Consider the following 15,399-nt stretch of genomic DNA (forward strand, 5'->3'; position numbering starts at 1 on the left):
CCGTGCCCGGCCATATGCTAGGCACAGTAGGCACAAAGACAAACAAGATTCATTTCCTGTCTGCAGGGAACTTTCGGGAGACAGACAAGTAAATGAGTGCATCCAACTGTGATGGGTACTGTGACTCTTTTACGTATGGGGTGCATTGAGAGAACAAATAAAGAGCTCTGGCAGGGGGCTGGGAAAGGTTTCATAGAAGATGTGAAGTGTAAGCTGTTTTGAAAGCTGAGTGGGGTCTCACCAGCTGGATGAGGGTAGAAGATGGGGAGTAGAAGAGAGCATTCCAAGCAGATGAAATATAGTCAGTCCAGGGAGAGTGCTGGGAGCCTCCAGGGAGACTACAGGTTGAAAGCCTAAAGGGACCGTCTAAAGTTCACCAGGTGTGGGCTTCATCACTTGCTTATTGGTCAATGGACCACATGGAGGCACTTTCTGGACTCTGAGAACCTCTGTGATAGTGTAGAGACAGCAAGGCCCAAGATGACCCAACCTCCCTGTTTATTAAGCACTTATAGTTTGCTACAGTTTACAGGACACCTTGGGGAGAAAAAAGTATACAACACACACACACCCACATACTCATAATACAAATATATAAAACACACAATTCACACTTGTATTTTATACAGATTACCCACCTATAAGCCCAAATATCTGTTCTTCAGAAACTGTCAGAGACTTTAAACTCTCCACTCCTCAATACTTACAACACTAAGGATGTGAGATATACTTAGGGAGACTGTCTAAAAGCTAAGCAGTACATCTATTCTAGAGGAAGATTTCAAACTTTCAAACCTACAGGCATGGAACTCTTTTTGTAAGGCAACCTTACCCTGGACCCCAATACATAAAATAAAAGCTCTTCTTTTAAGCAAAGGTAGGTAGAGTTCTGCTTTGGGGCCACTGAGACATGCCTGGGCACCTAGGCCTCAAAGGAGCACAAGGATCAAAATATGTTAAGCTTGGAAAAAGTCAGGACACCGATGAGCTACATACTCAAACCACATAGTTTTGTTCCTTCATACTATTACTTTTGTTGTGAATTGTGTTTTGGTGAGAAGCATGAATTTGCATTGAGATAAACTGTAAGAACAGCATATAAATACTCAGTGCTGGAAGGATGTTTGATATTCAAGACATGGTCACATTCAGCATACAGAGTCTGCTCTACAGTTGATGATGAAGAGTAGTGCTTCTCTGGAATAATGGGTTTGTTTTTATACTAGGACACTCTAAACCATGTAGCTGATTATGTTTCCCTCTTGGCAAAGGTTGCTAGGAAGCTCAAAGACAACATTTTGGCCCCAACTCTTGCAGGTGTCCAAGAACTTAATACTTACCCTAGCTTCCTCTTATTTTTCCCTCACCCTTGCTTTCCCTTTGCTCCAATTTTCTCACTTACTTATTTATTTTTATTGTTGTATTGTGACCATTTTTATAAGATATCTCAAGTCCTTTGTGGAAGGAACTGGTAAAAAAAAAGAGTTTATAAATTTAAAATTTATTTACACATTCAATATAACAAAATATATACATATCAAAAATGATGAATTATCTAAAACTCACAGCACAAAGCCCATATGTACCTCATACAAATATAAAACAATACACACAGATCACATAGGTACATAATTCACAATCACAACACTAATGTCATAAATACAAACACACTCGTACCCTGTTTACCCCACTCTCATGAGCATGTGTACAAATGCACACATGCACATACATGTGTCATGTACATACCAAGCTGCTCTGCAAGGAGCTGGCCCTTCTCAGTGGGAACAACCCTCTCTTCCTCCATGTCACACTTGTTCCCCACCAGAATAACTTGTGCATTGTCCCAGGAGTAGGTCTTGATCTGAGTAGCCCTAAAATGAGATAGAAAGAGATATGTTAATCATATTCCTATAGACTGAATGTCTGTGTCCCCACCTCCAAATTTACATGTTGAAGCCTAATCCCCAATGTAATGGTATTTGGAGGTGGAGTCTTCGGGATGTAATTATGTCAATGAGGCTAGAGTCCTAATAAATGTGTCCATATAAGAAGAGAAAGAGGCTAGAGCCCTCTTTCTCTCTTGGCCATGGGAGGATACAACAAGAAGCTGGCTGTCTCCAGATACTGGAGCTGCTGGCACCTTGATCTTGGACTTCCTAGCTCCAGAACTGTGAGAAAGAAATGTCCGTTATTTAAGCTACCAAGTCTATAGTATTCTTGTTATAGCAGCCCAAACTGACCAAGACACATACCCTCCTATGACAAAAAGAAAACTGTGAAGTGTGAAGAAATGGTTTCTCTTCCACAGGACTAGCAACATCCAAGTTATTGCCAATTAATTCAGCTGAGGACAGACAGATACCTGTCCCTGCTGGCTGTCACAGATGCTGACTCCTAAGCCCTAGCTGCAAACCTCATCCATCTTTTTGAAGTCCACCTCTACCATATCTGGCCATCCCTCTCCTCACTGGGCAGAGAGGTCTTTCTAAAACAGGTATTTGATCACAATGAATCTTTTCTTAAAAGCCTTCTCTGGCCCCCAGCTAGCTATGTGATCAAGTCCAGATTCCTCAGTTCAAGATCACTCATGCTGTGTCTCTCCAGCCTCATTACCCATTCTCCTGCCTCCCTAACCTTTTTACTCATTCCCCAAAAGCTCTTCCATGGCTTGTGCTTTTGCCTACACTGGGAAGTCCTTCCCCACAACTAACTCATCCTCCAGGGCCCAGTGCTGATCCCACAACACCTTGAGGGGAGCCTCTTCAAGCTTCTCCTAGATCCACTTAGCCTCCACCTCCTCCTATGTGATTCATAAACCTTCCCTGAAGCCTCGGATTATGATTATTTGCAGGAACCAAAATGTCAGCAGTGGTTACCTTCATATAAGATGATTATAAGACTTTTAAAAAATACTTTTTGGCCGGGTGCGCTGGCCCACGCCTGTAATCCCAGCACTTTGTGAGGCCGAGGTGGGCGGACCACGAGGTCAGGAGATCGAGACCATCCTAGCTAACATGGTGAAACCCCGTCTCCACTAAAAATTAAAAAAAAAAAATTAGCTGGGCATGGTGGCAGGCGTCTGTAGTCCCAGCTACTCAGGAAGCTGAGGCAGGAGAATGGCGTGAACCCGGGAGGTGGAGCTTGCAGTGAGCCAAGATCGCATCACTACACTCCAGCCTGGGTGACAGAGCGAGACTCCATCTCAAAAAAAAAAAAAAAAAAAAAAACCTTTTCAAATTTCTGTACTTTTCACATTTTTAAAAGTGAGCATGTATTACTTCTTTAATTAAAAACAAAATTTTAAGAGGAAATAAAAAAGGACTCTCTTATATTATGAAGACATCTTTTTGTGGAGATGGGCCTAACATTCCCCAAAGACCCCATCAGGTAGAAATGATTACTTCCTCTTTTGGTCTCCTGCACGTTCACCATGACACCTATTACACTTGGCTGAATTTGTCTCTCTCCCTGAGGGCAAGGACCGGCCTATTCATCTTTGGGATGCCAATACCCAGCACAGAACACACAGCGAAGAAGGTGTCAGTGAATGCTGATAAATGAACGAGCCAGTGAATGGTCAGTCCTGAAGCAGATCTTGAATCTGACTCTACCCTGACACTGACAACCTAACTCAACCCTAACTGCAACCTGAACCTACTACTGACCCTGCTCTTAAAGTTGATCTTACCACCAACCTTCTCATTTATGGTGAGAAGCCATTCCCTCAAAGGATGGAATTCACTCAACCACCACTTCTTGTGGGCCCACAGGAAACCAGGCCCCATTCTGGGCACTGGGGCTTGGATGGCAGGTAGGGGTGAGACTGAGACCAAGTTACCCACAGACAAAACTCAAAGGCCAGGGCTTGGGAGAGATAGACCCTCAGTCTTCAGACTCAAGGCAGGTAACTGGGGCCAGCTCTCCTTATCTCCCATGCTACTCTTTCTTTCATCTTCCTCCCTTCTCCCACCCCATTTCCTCTCAGCTCCCAGGTTAGCAACAAACTCAGGTTATTCTTGGAGGAATCGTCACCAGGTGTTAAAGTCACCGTGTTCCTGAGGCAGAATGAACAGAGACTGAGGGAGGAAGGGAAGGGGGTCAAGGCCAACAGGGAAATGGGCAGCGTGGAGACACTTCAGGGGAGATGTGATGAGAGAGAAGAGGAGGAGCAGGGAGAGGGGAGGAAGGGAGGAAAATGATGAGTGGAGAGAGTAAAGGGAAGGGGAAGAGAACAGAGGAAGGAGAGGAGAAAGACCCAAGGTAGAGGGAAGAAAGAGTTATTTAAAAGGAAGGGACAGAAAGGAGGAAGAAGAGGATAACCAGGAGGCAGAAAAGGAGAACACAGACCCCCAGGAATGACAGACATGCTGATGACACCCTGAACTGCTGGTCAGAACAGGGGAGTGCAGCAGGCAGCCCACAAGGTCACTCTCAGCTCAAGCTGTGTATGTGAAGCCAACACAATTATGACAACTGCTCCCTGGGAGAAGCGAAGTCCTCGAAGGTCACCATTAGGCAAAAGGGAGAAGGAGACAAGCCCAGCACTGGCCAGCACTGCTGCTGTGTGCCTGGTCTGCTCAGCCTCTCCGATTCTGAAGGACAGCCACCACACAGATGTCCCACCTTCCCCCATCCTCATCTGAGCAGGGACACTGGGTCCTGGCCCTCCCTCTCATGTGTCCTTCCCCTCAGGCTCCCTTCTCCTGGGAATCGTGCCCCAGGAAGAAAGCTATAAGTTGCTCAGAGGTTGCAACTCTGGGGTGCTGTACTGATTTCCATTGCATATTGAGCCTTGATGAACTTGGACTGTATGTGCTCCTGGACACCTGGCTCAGCCCAGGGATAAACTTTAAGTGCTATGTGGATTCACTCTCCACTGGAGCTACAGTAATCTTCCTGAAACACAAATGTGAACCTGTTGGTTTCTAATTCATACGTCATCACCTATGGGACAGAATCCAAACTCCTTATAGCAGCACACAAAACCCTTCATGACCTATGCCCTTCAACACTCGCACCTACCTTCTCACCTTTGCACATCTGTACTCATTTTCTGGAACATCCTTATTCATTTGTCCCTCGGGCTAACTCCTGTTCATCTTACAAAATGCAGCATATGTGTCAGCAACTCCAGGGCACTTTCTCTGACTCCCTAAACTGGGTCAGAGAGCCCTCTGCTGGGTTCCCACAGCCCTGATGCCTCGCTTCATCACTGCACCTAGCACACATTTTCTTTTCTTTTCTTTCTTTTTTTTTTTTTAAGATAGAGTCTCACTCTGTTGCCCAGGCTGGAGTGCAGTGGTGTGATCTCAGCTCACTGCAACCTCCGCCTCCCAGGTTCAAGCAATTCTCCTGCCTTAGCCTCCTGAGTAGCTGGGATTATAGGCACGTGCCACCACGCCTGGCTAATTTTTGTATTTTTAGTAGAGACGGGGTTTCACCATGTTGGCTAGGCTGGTCTCAAACTCCTGACCTCGGGTGATCTGGCTGCCTCGGCCTCCCAAAGTGCTGGGATTACAGGCGTGAGCCACTGCACCCGGCCTATCACATGATATTTTCATTCCTGCTTATGGATCTGTCTTCTGCTCTCGTCTGTAAACTCCTGAGGCCAGTAACCATGTCTGATTCATCTGGGCTTCCCCAGCACACAATACAGGACCTAGCACATGTTAGGTTTTAATGAACAGTTTGTTAAATGAATGAATGAATATGGGTCTCATACCAGTCTTGGACAGCATTGAAGGACTCTTCATTGGTGATGTCATACATCAGAATGAAGCCCATGGCCCCACGGTAATAGGCTGTTGTGATGGTCCGGTACCGCTCCTGCCCAGCTGTGTCCTGGGCAGGAAAAGAAAAGAAACAATCTCTTAGAAAGTCTGCTTTGGTTCCTAAAAAGTCCCCAGGACAATTAACTAATAACCCAAGACATTTTTTTTTTTTGAGATGGAGTTTTGCTCTTGTTGCCCAGGCTGGAGTGCCATGGCGCGATCTCAGCTCACTGCAACCTCTGCCTCCTAGGTTCAAGTGATTCTCCTGCCTCAGCTTCCCGAGTGGCTGGGATTACAAGCATGCACCACCATGCCCAGCTAATTTTGTATTTTTAGTAGAGACAGGGTTTCTCCATGTTGGTCAGGCAGGTCTCGAACTCCTGACCTCAGGTGATCCACCCGCCTCGGCCTCCCAAAGTGCTGGGATTACAGGAGTGAGCCACCGCGCCCAACCCAAGGCATATTTAAGGAGCATCTATTATGTGTCTTGTATTGTGCTTGCTGACTAGATTAAAATGATTTTTTAAATCTCATAGAATTTAATAAGAATAATTAAAATCCTAAAGGAAAAGTGGACAAGAGGCATGAACAAGCACATAAGAAATGTTGAGTGGGTAATTATTACATAAAAAGTTTTAACCTTATTTTTGTTTCTTTTTTTTTTTTTTTTTTTTTTTTAAGACAAAGCCTTACTCTGTTGCCCAGGCTGAGAGCCCTGGCACAATCATAGCTCACTGCAAGTTTGAATTTCTGGGCTGAAGCAATGCTCCCACCTCAGTCTCCGAGTAGCTGGGATTAAGGTTTTGTGCCACTGTGCCCAGCCCCTTATTTTTAATAATAATTCCCATGATTGATAAGCATGCAGTGAAATATACAAATTCACATCTTGCTTGTGGGAGTGGAACTTGGTTTAGCCTTTCTGGGAATCAATTTGGAAGTCTTAAGAGCATTAAAAATGTTCATACTCTTTGACCCAGAAATATTCCTTCTGGGAATTTTTCCCACAAAATTAGAAAAATTTTCCCTATAAAAATAGAAAATCAGACAAATATGTATGTACAAAAACACATTTGTTAAAACTTTATCTAGACAGTGAAAACATATCATCAACTTATATATTCAACAATAGGAGAATGGTTAAAATGTAAGAATTTTTATGTAAGTTCATGTATGTAAGAATATTTAACGATATGAGACAATACTTGTATGTGTGATGTATTAGTTTTATAACTATATGTGCACAGAAAAAAATAGAAGAAACACATCAAAAGGTTAATAGAGATTTTCTCTGAATAAGAGACAAGAATTACTGAGATTTTGATTTTCTTCATGTAATTTTTTTTTTTTTTTTGAGACAGGGTCTCACTGTGTGGCCCAGGCTGGAGTGCAGTGGAGCAATCTTGGCTCACTGCAATCTCCACCCCCTGGGCTCAAGTGATCCTCCCACCTCAGCCTCCTGAGTAGCACACCACCACACCCGGCTAATTTTTGTATTTTTAGTACAGATGACGTTTTACCATGTTGCCCAGGCTGGTCTCAAACTCCAGAGCTCAAGCAATCCACCCACCTTAGCCTCCCAAAGTGCTAGGATTACAGGTGTGAACCACTGTGCCCAGACTTCTTCATGTATTTTTATTATCTCTACAATGAGCACATATTACTCTTATGTAAGGAGAAATAAACATTTTTTCAAAAAATGACTTTAAGACAATTCTTAATCACAAGTAGCTCATAGTCTAGTTGGAAAGACAAACACGTAAGCAAGCAACAAAGACAAGACCAACAGCAAAGGGTTATCAGGGCACATTGGGATGCTTCCAAATTTTCCACACAGTCCTCGTGTGAGGGACCAGCCAATCTTCTCTATATCATTACAGTCTCAGAATGTGTGATGCTTAAGCATATATAAAACATGTCCTCATATATTACCTCATTTAAATTCTATGAGATTCCAGTGAGGTAGGTGTCATTATTATTTACACTTTATAGTTGAGAATGCAAAAATTGCAGAAAGGGCAAGTGACTTTCCCAAGGTCAAGGTCATAAAGCTGGTGACAAAAAGGTAGGCCTTAAATCTGGGACTTTTTTTTTTTAAGAGACAGGGTCTCACTCTGTCACTCAAGCTAGAGAGCAGTGGCACAATCATCATAGCTCACTGCAGCCTTGAACTCCTAGGCTCAAGTGATCCTCCCACCTCAGCCTGCAGAATAGCTAGGACTACAGGCGCTCGCCAGTGTACCCAGCTTTTTTTGTTTTGAGACAGGATGTCACGCTGTCATCCAGTCCTGAGTGCATGATCACAGCTCACTGCAGCCTCAAATTCCCAGGCTCAAGTGATCCTCCCACCTCAGCCTCTCAAGTAACTGGGACCACAGGCATGTGCCACCATGCCTGGCTAATTTTTTTTACTTTTGTAGAGACAAGGTCTTACTATGTAGCCATGGCTGGTCTGGAACACCTGAACTCAAGTGATCCTCCTGCCTCAGCCTCCCAAAGTGCTGGGATTAAAGGCATGAGCCTGTAAAGCCCAGCCAAATCCAGGACTTCTGATTCCATGTCTAATGCAGGTACCACCACAACTCCATCAATGAAAGATTGATTTATTCACAAGCATCTACTGAACACCATCTATAGTTATAATAAAAATAAATAAGGAGAAAAATAATTTCAGTATGCCACTATTTTTATACAGGTTGCACCTGTTATCCACAAATACTAGAAAACCCTGGAGAATATATGTTGTTACTCTCATCTTACAGGTGAGGAAACTAAGATTCATTCAGAACTAATCTGTCTCTCTCCTGCACCCATTACAACATATTGCCTTAGCCATGAACTATACTTAGTGTGATAATAACATAGAACAACCACCACCCCTGCCCTCAGGAAACCTCAATAGAGTTGTGAAGGTGGCTAAGATATAACAGCAAATTGATAATTAGCAATATGAGGTAATATGTCATCAGCACCAGATAAGTGGTATAAAAAAAAATGAGTTGGCTGGGCATGGTGGCTCATGCCTGTAATCCCAGCACTCTGGGAGGCCAAGGTAGGTAGATCATTTGAAGTCAGGAGTTTGAGGCCAGCCTGGCCAATATGGTGAAATCCTGTCTGTATTAAAAATACAAAAGTTAGCCAGGTGTAGTGGTGTACACCTGTAATCCCAGCTACTTGGGAGGCTGAGGCACGAGAATCACTTGAACCCAGGAGGCAGGGTCGCAGGGAGCTGAGATGGCATCATCGCATTCCAGCCTGGGTGAAAGAGTGAGACTGTCTCAAAAGGAAAAAAAAAAAGAGTCACACAAGTTCAGGTAAAGTAGAAACATGGTGGTTTGGGGTAGTTATGGAAGATGTCAAAGTGGAGATAATATATCCTTTAGGATAGGCTGGGTTCTTCAGGAACAAGCAATCCCAAATGTCAGTAGCTTAAACAACAAGGTTTTATTTTTTATTATTATTACATATCCATTAAGGACTGGCTGGGTGCTCTGCTTTTTGTCATCTTTATTCCAGGATAAAGACTGACAGAGCAACTACCAGAGGGGAAAAAAGTATGTGAGTCATGTATTGGCTCTTAAAACTTCCACTTTTCCCATTTCACTGGCCAAAGCAAGTCACAAACCCACACCCAACTTTCAAGGGGTAAGAAAGTGCAATACTATCATATGCTGAGGAGGAAAACTGGGACTATATGGTAGAAGGCATAATGATTCCCATGGGTGGAATCTGCACCGAGCCCAGGAGCATCACATGAAAGTGTGCTTATTTGGCAATATAAGGAGAACTTTTCTAAAGAAGAATTTTCCTTTTCCAAGCAGAAAAGTAAAGGAGTGGTATTTTGGCAGAAGGGAGAGTTTTTGACAGTGAGTACTCCTGAAGAACTTCAGGAACGGTAGGGGATGGGACATAGGTAGGTGATGAAGCTAGAAAGAGCTCTGAATACTATGCTATGGGGTATGGACTTGATTTTTTAAGATCAAAGATTTTGAGCCAAGGGATTAACGTAATTAGATCTGAGATTTAGAAAGATCACTCTAACAATGGTGTAGAGAATGGACTGGAAGGAGAAGAGATAGGAGGCAGGAAGGCTGGTTAGAAGATCTTTGCAGTAGTACAGGTCAGACTAAATAAGAATCTGAGCTAGAGTGGTAACAACAGGCATAGAGTAAGAACAGATTCATTGAGGTATTTAAGAGGTAAAATTATAGGGAATGGTGATAGATTAGATGTGAAGAGAAGAAAAACAAAGATAGCAGTTGTTTCTGTCAGGGCTTGGCTTCTCCATGTCCTCAGCAATTCAGCTCTGGCCCAGACTTGCATAACCTTACTCCATAAAACAAAACCTGCATCTAACATACTCACCCTCCTTGGAGAGCATATGAATCACCATCTTCTTTTCATTGAGCAATGTCTTTAAGCATCTTACTCTCCACCTCAATCAGCTTATCAAAGTATTCCTTCTGACCACATACAGCAGTTCTCCCTATGAGTTCTGGAAGATATTTTCTCCAGCTCATGAGTGAGTGGGAGGATAAATGAATAGATGAATGGATAAATGAGTGAATGAATAAATGAGGTTCTGAACATTTAACACTGGAAATCTTAGACATTATTGAGAGAAATCTGCCATATCCACATCAAAGCTCTGTGTGTTTGTGACTAAGAAACATTGACGCAGTATTTGATCCACTCCTCCTATGCCCTTGCCTCTGCTTCCTGAGCTCCTCAGAGCCAACTCCAAAGAATAGACCTCCCACTGATCTGTAGCTTCAGTCCCTAAATCCTGTCCTGCAGGATTTGGAATTAAGCCACTCTTCCTGGTCTAGAAGCCCAGGCAGGATTTCTGAGCGCCTGCACTGCCATCAGGCCTGAGCTCTCCTCAGTCTCCCTAAACTATGCCCTGTTATTCTGTGAGAGTGTCGAGTCTTCCATCTCTGCCTGGAGCCTAGCCCTGTGCCCAAGCTCTCCAAGAGTCTTGTCACCCAACTGAATCCCAACTAATTAGAAATTCTGGTATATACCCCATAAATGAGTTTGGACATGGAGTCAGTTTTATCTCAGTACTACCAGTACGTAGCACAGGGCTGTGCACACAGTAGCAATTTAACCACTGTTTGTTAAACAAAAAGGCCATATAGTCTTGAGGTTAAGACTGTGATCTTTGGAGTTAGGCTTCTGGGTGTGAATCCCTATTCTACCACTTACTCACTATGTGACTATAGTACACAGCCTCTAAAATGGCTTCTAAAATGTCTCCTGATATTCATGCTTTTGTGTAATCCTCTCTTTGGGCAACTTACCTATTGGAGCCTTAGTTTCTTTATCTATGAAGCGGGAATAATAATAATACTTCATTTTATTGCACTTCAACTTATTACACTTTGCAGATATTGCATTTTTTACAGATTGAATGTTTGTGGTGACCCTATCTCAAGCAGGTCTATCAGAGCTATTTTTCCAACAGTATGTGCTCACTTCATGTCTCTGTGTCACATTTTGGTATTTCTCACAATATTTCAAGTCTTTTCATTATTATTATATCTGTCATGTTTATCTGTGATCAGTGATCTTTGATGTTACTATTGTAATTGCTTTGGGGTGCCATGAACCACACCCATATTAAGGCAGTGAACTTAATGTTGTGTGTGTTCTGAATGCTCCACCAACCAGCCATTCCCCCATCTCTCCCTCTCTTCAGGACTCCCTATGCCTTGAGACACAACAGTATTAAAATTAGGCCAATTAATAACCCTACAATGGGCCCAGCGTGGTGGCTCATGCCTGTAATCATAGCACTTTGGGAGGCCGAGGCAGGTGGACCACTTGAGGTCAGGAGGTTGAGACCAGCCTGGTCAACATGGCGAAATCCTGTCTCTACTAAAAATACAAAAATTAGCCAGGCATGGTGGCAGATGCCTATAATCCCAGTTACTCAGGAGGCTGAGGCAGGAGAATCACTTGAACCCAGGAGGCGGAGGCTGCAGTGAGTCAAGATCACACCACTGCACTCCAGCCTGGGTGACAGAGCAAGACTCCATCTCAAAATAATAATAACAACAACAACAACAACAACAACAACAACACCACAATGGCCTCTAAGTGTTCAAGTGAAAGGATGAGTTACACATCTCTTGCTTTAAATCAAAAGCTAGAAATAATTAAGCTTAGTGAGGAAGGCATGCCAAGAACTGAGATGGGCCGAAAGCTAGGCCTCTTGTACCAAACGTTAGCCAAATTGTAAATGCAAATGTAAATTTATTGAAGGAAATTAAGAGTGCTACTCTTGCGAACACATAAGTGATAAGAAAGCAAAACAACCTTATTGGCAATATGTAGAAAGTTTTAGTGGTTTCTGGATAGAAGATCAAACTAGCCACAATCTTTCCTTAAGCCAAAGCCTAATTCAGAGCAAGGCCTTAACTCTCTTCAATTCTATGAAGGCTGAGAGAGGTGAAGGAACTGCAGAAGAAAAGTCTGAAGCTAGCGGAGGTTGGTTCATGAAGTTTAAGGAAATAAGCTATTTTCATAACCTAAAAGTGCAAGGTGAAGCAGCAAATGCTGATGTAGAAGCTGCAGCAAGGTTATCCAGAAGACCTGCTAAGATCATTGATTAGGGTGGCTACATTAAATAAGTGATTTTCAATGTAGACAAAACAGCACTGGAAGAATATGCCATCTAGGACTTTCATAGCTAGAGAGAAGTCAATGCCTGACTTCAAAGCTTAAAGAACAGGCTGACTTTCTCGTTAGGGGTTAATGCAGCTGGTGACTTTAATTTGAAGTCAATGCTAACTGACCATTCTGAAAATCCAAGGGCCCCTCAAAACTATGCTAAATCTACCCTGCCTGTGCTCTAGAAATCGAACAACTAAGCCTGGATGACAACACATCTGTTTACAATATGGTTTACTGAATAATTTAAGCCCATTGTTGAAACCCACTCTCAGGAAAAAATATTCCTTTCATAATATTCCTGCTTATTGACAATGTGCCTGGTCACCCAAGATATCTGATGGAGATATACAAGGAGATTAATGTCTTCATGCCTGCTAACACAACATCCATTCTGCAGCCCATGGATCAAGGAGTAATTTTGACTTTCAAGGCTTATTTGGACCTGGGCAAAGTAAATTGAAAACTTTCTGGAAGGAATTCACCATTCTACCATTAAGAATATTCGTGATTCATGGGAGGAGATAAAAATATGAACATTAATAGCAGTTTGAAATAAATTGATTCCAAACTTTGGAATTATGGATGACTTTATGGGGTTCAAGACGTCAGTGGATGAAGTAACTGCAGATCTAAGATCTTGTGGAAATAGCAGGAGAACTAGGATTAGAAGTGAGACCTGAAGATGTGACTGAATTGTGGCAATCTCATGATAAAACTTGAACGGATGCAGTTGCTTCTTACAGATGAGCGAAGAAAATGGTTTCTTGAGATGGAGTCTACTCTGGTGAAGATGCTGTGAACATCCTTGAAATGACAACAAAGGATTTAGAATATGACATAAACATAGTTGGATAAAGCAGTAGCAAGGTTTGAGAGGACTGACTCAAATTTTTAAAGAAGTTCTACTATGGGTAAAATGCTATCAAACAGCATCACCATGCAACAGAGAAATCTTTCATGAAAAGAAGAATCAATCGATGCAGCAAACTTCACTGTTGCCCTATTTTCAGAAATTGCCACAGCCACCCCAGTCTTCAGCAACCACCAACCTGATCAGTCAGCACCCATGAACATCAAGGCAAGACCCTCCACTGGCAAAAAGATTAACACTCACTGAAGGCTCAGATGATTGTTAGCATTTTTTAGCAATAAAGTATTTTGTTGGTTTGTTTGAAACAGGGTCTCACTCTGTTGCCCAGGCTGGAGTGCAGTGGCGAGATCATAGCTTACTGCAGCCTCAACCTCCTGGGCTCCAGTGATCCTCCCACCTCAGCCTCCCAAAGTGCTAGGATTACAGGCCTGAGCCACCATATCTGGCCTAAAGTATTTTTTAATTAATGTATGTAAATTGTTTTAGGCATAATATTACTACACATTTAATAGACTACTACAGTATAAACGTGGCTTTTATATGCACTGGGAAACCAAAAAATTCATGTTACTTGCTTTATTGCAATATTTACTTTATTATGGTGATCTGGAACTGAACCTGCAACATATCCGAGGTATGCCTGTACCTACCTCAGAGTTTTGTGAGGATTAATAATGTTATTATATGCGAAATGCTTAGAACAGTTCCTGCTGTGTAGTAAATACCACATAGGCATCAGCTATTGTTTTTGCACTTCCAAAGGCAGTTCCAGGAGCAGGGCCAGCTTCCCAGGGTCTGCCCTGCTAGAGTGGATGGGTCTCATGCTATATGTGTCATTTCCCATTCCATTCAAACCTACCCAGGGCTGCCTCCAGCCAGAGTGTCAATATAATGTTTCCCTTAAAGAGTAGCAACATGACCTGTTAGAAAGAGAATGGGTGAACTTAAGAGTTGAGCAGGCCTTGGCCTAACTCCCAGCTCTGCCATTCATCAGCAATGTGATTTTGGACTAGTTGGTTATTTTATCTCTCTGAGGTTCAGTTTCCTCACATCTGGAATGGAAATAAAAATGCCTACTTGGTAGGGTTTTCATAATATGATATTTTTTAAGTGTCTGGCTTATAATAGGTATCCAAATATAGAAGTATTTATTATTTAACTTTTAAATTAATTTTTTTAAGTAATTGAGCCTTAGTTTCCTCAACTGTGAGGTGGTGATAATAATATTATACTTTGAAGTGACTGTGTGAGAATGACAGATAATGTAGGGGTAGAGCCTAGCAGAGCACTGGCCACATGGTAGGTGCTCAATAAAGCTCATAGTAAGTGCTGCTATTACTGTTGATATTGTTGACATTTTTATTTCACTTAAAGAAAAGCGAGGTTGGAAACACAACACTCCAGCTCTCACTATCCTGTGCTCTATGGAAAGCAGCCCAGAGAATCACTCCTGAATCTCTCCCTTTTATTTTTAAAAATCACACTGAGGAACATTGATTCTCCTCCTACTGATGAGAGTCAGAAATAGAATCACAGAGGAGATGGGAAGGAGGAGAAAGAAAGAGGAGTGACTCACTGGCTACTTGAGGAAGGAGACCATGTCATCAAGAGAAATCAGTTCACTTCTACACAACAGACATTCATTGAGCTCTTCATATGGGCAGAGGATTATGCCAGAGAACAGACACGAGAGTGAGCACCACTGCTCTAGTCTCCCATAGCCTGCTCAGTGTGGCAGACAGACATGTGGGCAAGACAGAAGGGGACTAATGTTTACTGAACACCCACTATGTTCTGAGCACTTTGGTAAGTGCTTTATATATGAGACCCATTACATTATTTGTGGTAACAAAATAACACTGTTAGTTGAGCATTACTACATGCCAGGCACATGTTAGTAGGCACCTTTCTTATTTTATTTTATTTTCAAAAAACCCTTCTGAAATACTACTATCTCTATTTACAGATGAGGTAAAGTTTTAAATAACTTGCCTAAGATCTTGCAGTCAGTTCATTTCAGACTGAGATTCAAACCTGGTCTGTCTGATTCCAAAGCTTGTGCTGTTTCCAGGATGCCGTTTA

General features: G+C 42.5%; 1 protein-coding gene across 2 annotated transcripts in view; it reads right to left on the minus strand.

Annotated features, from left to right (window-relative positions):
• Positions 1 to 15,399, minus strand: part of RAB3B (RAB3B, member RAS oncogene family) — an 82,745-nt gene that overhangs the window by 23,616 nt on the left and 43,730 nt on the right. For both annotated transcript variants that reach the window (NM_002867.4, XM_017001958.2), the window contains exons 3-4: positions 5,723 to 5,841; positions 1,747 to 1,871 (exon numbers count right to left, since the gene is read on the minus strand). In NM_002867.4, coding sequence (NP_002858.2) covers positions 1,747 to 1,871; positions 5,723 to 5,841 — 244 coding nt within the window. The remainder of the gene's footprint in view (positions 1 to 1,746; positions 1,872 to 5,722; positions 5,842 to 15,399) is intronic.

The sequence above is a fragment of the Homo sapiens genome, chromosome 1 (assembly GCF_000001405.40).
Source record: "Homo sapiens chromosome 1, GRCh38.p14 Primary Assembly".
NCBI lineage: Eukaryota > Metazoa > Chordata > Mammalia > Primates > Hominidae > Homo > Homo sapiens.